At 45.3% G+C, this 7,128-nt stretch overlaps 1 annotated feature.

Moving 5' to 3' along the window:
- Positions 5,010-6,209: an enhancer, noted in NCBI's record as "P300/CBP strongly-dependent group 1 enhancer chr5:58186496-58187695 (GRCh37/hg19 assembly coordinates)". NCBI's record gives its function as "activates an origin of replication core promoter dependent on BRD2, BRD4, P300/CBP, MED14 and CDK7 cofactors, with strong dependence on P300/CBP, by STARR-seq in HCT116 cells {active_cell/tissue: HCT116}" and the evidence as "EXISTENCE:reporter gene assay evidence [ECO:0000049][PMID:35650434]".

Below are 7,128 nucleotides of genomic sequence, written 5' to 3'. Positions count from 1 at the left end.
TTCCATAGTGATTTTTCATGGAAGCAGAGCTGAGCTCATCACTATACCTGGGGTCATCACACGTCTGACCCTTCTGGAGAACACAGACCTTGCAGCACCCAACATCTTTCTCCACATACTCTAGGACATTGAATTCTCATCCTTTATTCACTGCAACATGCCCAGAGGCAGAGATACACTACATTATCCTTAGTAACATGAGCCCTTACTTCAGTGTCTCAGTGGTAGGTGGCAGTGGTCTGCTAATAAATGTTTTATAAAGCAGCTCTTCAGGCCAGGCACAGTGGCTCACATCTGTAATCCTAGCAGTTTGGGAGGCCGAGGCGGGCGGATCACAAGGTCAGAAGATCAAGACCATCCTGACTAATACGGTGAAACCCCGTCTCTACTAAAAATACAAAAAAATTAGCTGGGCATAGTGGCAGGCGCCCGTAGTCCCAGCTACTCAGGAGGCTGAGGCAGGAGAATGGCATGAACCCGGGAGGCAGAGCTTGCAGCAGTGAGCTGAGATCGCGCCACTGCACTCCAGCCTGGGCAACAGAGCAAGACTCCGTCTCAAAAAAAAAAAAAAAAAAAAAAAAAGTAGCTCTTCACAGAGGAGGAGTGAGGAAGCCCTGATTTATAGTTATTGCCAGTTTCTATGTTATAAATAACCACACTATATCTGATTTCAAGCTACCAATGGGATGTCACTGCATACAAAGTTAGAAAAAGATGTGTACAATCTGCTCTTGTGAGCTGGTAGGAGCTATCTCTATCATGTCATTAGTGAGTGGGTAAATGTGGATTATAATCTCTGGGGCAATGTATATAGTATGCAGTTGAAAAGCACCCCAGATGATTCTGAGAAGTTCCTTTAAGGGGAGCTCTATCCTCCTCCTCTACCTCTGAGAATTATTTTTGTAGATTCCTAACAAATGCAGCAAGCTGCTGGTATATGTGGGAAGGGTATAAAGTGATATAGGTGCTAATTTTTTCAGGGTTTTATTCAGATGCTTTGGGTTGGGTGGCAGTGTAAGCCAGGATATTAAGAGCAGCTTGGGTGTTAAAACGTAGATTTATTGATAATGCTTCTGATGACGCTGATTGTAACCATCATAGCAAGTGTTTCCACTGTCATTGGTGGAACTTGGAATTCCTCAGATGGATTTTAAACAATTGGAGAGTTCCATTGTTAGACGGTTTTATGTTTTATCAATGTTTATTGATGAGGGCATGCAGTGAACTACCCAAATTTTTATTTTTAACTACCTTCCAACATACATGTGCATTAGCTCATTTAATCCTCAGAACAACCTTTATGAGGTAGGCACTATTACTGTCTCTTTTATAGACAAGGAAATGGAAGTGTCTTAGTCTGTTTGTGTTGCTGAAAAGGAATACCTCATACTGAGTAATTTATAAAGAAAAGAGGTTTATTTGGCTTATGGTTCTGCAGGATGTACAAAAAGCATGGCACCAACATCCACTTCTGATGAGGGCCTCTGGAAGCTCCCCCTCTTGGTGGAAGGTGAAGCAGAGCTGGCAAGTACAGAAATCACATGGCAAGAGAGGGAGCAAGAGAGAGAGAGGAAGGTGGTGCCAGGCTCTTTTTAACAACCAGCTGTCTTGGGAACTAACAGAGTGAGAACCCCCCATCCTAAAGGGAGGGCATTAATGTATTTATGAGGGATCTGCCCCGTGACCCAAACACCCTCCATTAGGCCCCACCTCCAACATTGGGGATGAAATTTCAACATGAGATTGGAGAGGTGGAATATTCAAACTATTGCAGGAAGCATAGGGAGGAAGGGCAAATTCCTCAAGTGCACACAGGTGGTTGACTGGAGAGCTGAGATTTGAACCTGGACCTGTGTGACCAGATGCAGAGCTCTGAAGTGCTCCATAGGCTCTCACTCCAGGCTGTGAATTGGGGCAGATGTTGGGTGAATGGAGACTGGTGGTGCAATGTCACCTTGCATTCGCTCATATGCCTTTAATCCCATATGAAAGGACTGTGCATGTCAGTAACTATGATGTTTTCTAGGAAGGCATTGGCTCTCTTGCTTCAGACTTCCTCCGGAGAAGACCCTCCTGTTCAGCCTCATTCTGTGAGACAGTAGCACTCTTTCCTCGAGAACTTCTCCAGTGGCCTAGTCACACCACACTAAGTGTGGCAGAGAGGGCTAGTTATCCTCCGATCTTCATTCTTTCCTTTTTACATATGAACAGAAGTTCTAGCTGGCTACATAGCTAGCAGAAGCCCTATTTCGCAGCTACCCTTGCAGCTTAGTGGGGCCCGATGACTGCTTTCTGGCTCACTGGATACAGAAGAGGTGTACTGTGCAATATCTGGGTTGTGCCTCCAAAGGGAAGTGTGTACCCTCTCCTTTCCAATTCCTTATTCTTGTTGGACAAGATGGTGGACATTGTGAGTTGGAAGAATGCATTGAAGCCTGGACTCTTGACAATTTTGAGGAGAAGAGCTACAATATCAGCTTGGATTTTTATGGAAAAGAAATCAACTTTGAGCTGTCTAATTTACTTTTAACACTCTGTGTCATAACATCTAAGTCTATCTAAGATGTCAGGAGATCTTGGCTTTTGGTATATTGTAGTGTTTACCTTACCTTCCTTATAAAGACCTTTCTTTTTTCTTTTGCTTACATAGGCCCTTTCATGCTCCCAATATGAGCTGCTCTCCAGTCAGCCAAAGAGCACCCCTGCCTTCAATTGTCCTCATTGAGCATTCATTTTTCCAATTTTCCATATAACCCCATTCCCAGAGCCCCATTTCTTTTGGTCTGTAGCTGAGGCAGAGCCATGTGTATTGAGATGAAGATAAGCAGGAGATTCAGCCAATGTCTAGGGAAGATAGTGAGCAAGACAAGGGACTGGATAAAAGCCAAATGTTAGATGAAGCAGCGAAGCAACTATCTGTTTGCAGGGAAGAGGTAGGGATCAGGAAGAAATGGGGGTGAATATAAAACTGAGCTTAAAATTCAGGCAGATAAATAGGAACAGAGACCAAGGAGAATTTGGAAGTTAAAATGCAGCAGTGGGTGAAAGTCAGATATGCAATGGGGAAACAAAAAATTGCCTCAGGTAGGAAGCACTTCAGAGCTTACCTGTTGTAGCAGGAACCCATAGCTGACTCAGGCTGAAATCCAAGAGCCCAGCCATGTAGCTATGACAGGTCCTGAACTAGCCTCCCAGAATTTTCCATGTGAGAGCTTAAAGTATGCATCGGCCTTTCTCCTCAAATGGAAACTATTGTAACAGATTCTATGCACAGACTCCTTCAACATCCCTTCCAGTCTCTTTTTCCTTTTTCCACAGCAGAGATAGGAGAGTTAGAGAGATTCCCCTGATGCCTGCTTCTGGATACAGCCTAGGTTCTGCTGAGCAGATGTAGCCACATGCTACAGTGAAGGAGGAAGCCCCGGCTTTGCATTGGTCTCTTCTTCCTTCATGGTAGCATGTGGCTGCATCTGTTCAGGGAGCTCAACTTTCTTTGCAAGTGGGGTAGCCAAAGCATGCCTCCCCTCGGTATCTTTAGCAGAGTTTGCACTCTCTGGTCCCTGGTGTCACTGGTGCAGAGTGATGGGCAACTGCATCAGTGATTTCCACCAGAATATCCCTTGGGTGGTTGATTATTTCTTCCGGCTACAGCACATTATCTAACCCTAGCTTACTGGTCCTGCAAGAAATTCTATAAGCCACCTAATAAATTCCTTTTTCCTTAAAATAATAAGAGTGGATTATATTGTTCACAACTAAGTTCCTGGCTGATACACACATTTTTTTCCCTGTCTCTTACTTTTTATTTTTTTCATTTTTTTAAGATTTTTTTTTAAGTTCCAGGGTACATGTGCAGGATGTGCAGGTTTGTTACGTAAGTAAATGTGTGCCATGGTGTATTGCTGCACCTATCAACCCATCACCTAGGTCTTAAGCCCCGCGTGCATTAGCTATTTTTTCTGATGCTCTCCCCCCGCCCCCCGCCCCTCTGATAGGCCCCAGTGTGTGTTGTTACCCTCCCTGTGTCTATGTGTTCACATTGGTTCAGCTCCCACTTAGAAGTGAGAACAATGCATATTGTTTTATACTCTGAATCTTTGACATCTGTTATAACGTCTTGCCTCAACAGCTATAGTATGTGAACTTGGTAGATTGAGAATATTTTAATCAATTTGAGTCATTTTTTGTCCCTTCTACAGTGCTGAGTACACAGTACATGCTAAAAAACATACTTGTTTTGGGCCAGGCATGGTGGCCCACGCCTGTAATCCCAGCACTTTGAGAGGCCAAGGTGGGCAGATCACTTGAGACCAGGAGTTTGAGACCAGCCTGGCCAATATGGCAAAACCCTGTCTCTGCTAAAAATACAAAAAATTAGCTGGGTGTGGTGGTGCACACCTATAGTACCAGCTACTTGGGAGGCTGAGGCAGGAGAATTGCTTGAACCCAGGAGGCAGAGGTTGCAGTGAGCCAAGATCGCACCAGTGTACTCCAGCCTGGGCAACAGAGCAAGACTCCATCTCAAAAAAATGAAAAACAAAACAAAACAAAACTTGTTTTATTGAAAAATAAAGGTCCTTTTGAAGAAGAGAAATATGAGGTAGATCAATTTTATATACCCTTGGATGTGTATAAAACTATTCTTTGTAGTACAGGAAGAAAGTATTAGAATATCTATATATATGGAACTTTGATTTTTATGTAAACATATTTTATGTTTTGCTAATATTTAATACAGACTGAGAGTAGTACATCTATATTTACAAATAAGTACATGTGGATGTGCATGGTCAAAAAGTTTTACTGATATGGATCAGAAATGAAAAACATTTGGAGGTCACTGGGCTGAGTTACTTCTCATGATGCTTTTCAGTGATCTGTTTTTTTTTTTTTTATATAATAAACAGTTGGTAATTTCTCATCAGAGCCGAGATGTGCAGGGAATTTAGTAGAGTGCCATCTGGCGGTGATTTCTGCCACGTGCAGCATTTATCCCATTGTTCCTCGGGGGTGCCATCTGTGAGCTTCCTCAGGCCACAGTATCATCGGTCTGGCCTTTAGGCTGAGGGTAACTCAGGGAGGTGAGAAAGGCAAGCTCATGGCGCGGCAAAGGTCAAAGGACAGAGTGAAATTCAAGTGGCTCAAAGAACACACAGGGGTGGAAAAGAAGCCAGCAACACGGGGGAGGGGCGGGGGGCACCAGATGCAAGAGTGAGATGGGCGGGTGCAGAGGAAAAGTGAAATAGAAATCTGTACTTAAAGTGCACAGTGTGACGACAGCAGAAACACATTGCCAAGAAGATTGTGCCTCCTGCATTCTCCACATCCACAGTCATCACTAAAAAAACAAAGGCTAGGAGGGAGGGTCCCCTGAGCATTTGCCAGAGCTCTCCCCTGGGGCCAGGGTGTCATCACAGAATGAGAATACTTTAAGGCTACACTTCACCTTCCCAAGCAATAAAACATCTTCAAAAAACAAAAAAACTTGCAACCTAACCACATAAAATCCAGCCTGAAATCCTCCCTCTGTACCGGATGAATGATGTGATTTTTGCTGCTCTTGATCTTATTCATCCTTGACGCAATTGCTCCTCTGGGGGAATTCTGGTCGCCAAGAACGTTAGAACAGACACAGCATTTTTCTTGGGCAGCTCAAGGTCACTTGCGATAACGTCAGAGGAGGCTGCTCCTTGGGATAATGGAACTGAGCAGTGACAATTATGCTTCCCAACAGATGCCTGTGTCCTTAATCTGTCCGCTGTGGGGTGAAACAACAAAGAGGACATTTTAATAGTCCTAGGATGTGGTGTCACAACTGTCCCATTTTGATTAGGATGCATTTGGGAACAGGGAGCTGAGGGCTTATCACTGGAAGCCCCCCTTTCTTCCCCCTTAAGAGCACAGAGGGCATAAAATAAGAAGAACAGGCAGAGGAAAGCAGGCAAAGAAGAGTATCGTGATGTCTGATGGAGGGAGGAGGACAAAGGGAGAGAAGGGAAGCGGGGACCGCACAGTCGGAGTCCCCTCTTCTCATCTGAGACAGAGAACTCCATCAGAATAGCAAGTAGGGGTGGGCAGAGGAGAGGGATGGAAGGCGTGCCCTGAAGAAATAGTCACCTTCAGAACAAAGAGAGAACAAAGATCTTGGGCTCCTCACACTTGGTGGCAGCGCTGTGGTAGTCTGTGCGAGCACAGAGGTAGCCAGTATGACAATTCCGTTTAAAAAATGAGAAGGAGCCCTAATGAGCAGATGCCGGGGGTTTCCTACCTGCGTCGCCGAGAAGATTCGACAGTGAATTGCCCCACTGGAGTGGGAGGAGGTGCTGGGTTAAAGCTGGTGCTTTGCACATAGAGCCTACTGTTTGCCAGGTTTGAGGACAGGTCATTCGCTGAGTGTCGGAGGCAGGACAGGACCGAGGTGACCGCACCTTGGCTTGCTGAGCTTTACCGGGGTCATCAGCAATGGGGTGACCATGTGATGTGGTGGCAGGGGGCCAGGAGCTGCTTTTGGGGCCTCATGTCACCTCTCACTAGTTTTGTAGCCTTGGGTGCACCCCATAACTTCTCTAGCCTCATTTCTTGATCTGCGAAGTGGGTACACCAGTCCCTGTTGAATTATTCATTCATTCATCCATGGTCTATTTATCAAGGAGCAACCACAGGCTCAGCACGGGGCTCACCCAGGTGCTGTAAATGTATCAACTTGCTTGGTCAACTAACCCTATGAGGCAAATGCTACAATTATCTCTCTCTCTTTTTTTTTTTTTTTTTTTTTGAGAGGGAGTCTCGCTGTCACGCAGGTTGGAGTGCAGTGGTAGGATCTTGGCTCACTGCAACCTCTGCCTCACGGGTTCAAGCGATTCTCCTGCCTCAGCCTCCCGAGTAACTGGGCTTATAGGCACACGCCACTAAGCCTGGTTAATTTTTGTATTTTTAGTACAGGTGGGGTTTCACCATGTCGGGCAAGCTGGTCTCAAACTCCTGACCTCAGGTGATCTGCCGGCCTCGGTCTCCCAAAGTGCTGGGATTACAGGCATGAGCCGCTGCATCCAGCCTATAATTATCTGTATCTCACAGATAGAGAAGCTGAGCACAGAATGGTTAGGCACTATACCTAAGGTTGCAGAG

This window comes from Homo sapiens, chromosome 5, assembly GCF_000001405.40.
Source record: "Homo sapiens chromosome 5, GRCh38.p14 Primary Assembly".
Classification (NCBI taxonomy): domain Eukaryota; kingdom Metazoa; phylum Chordata; class Mammalia; order Primates; family Hominidae; genus Homo; species Homo sapiens.
This window is presented reverse-complemented; position numbering and strand designations above follow the sequence as displayed.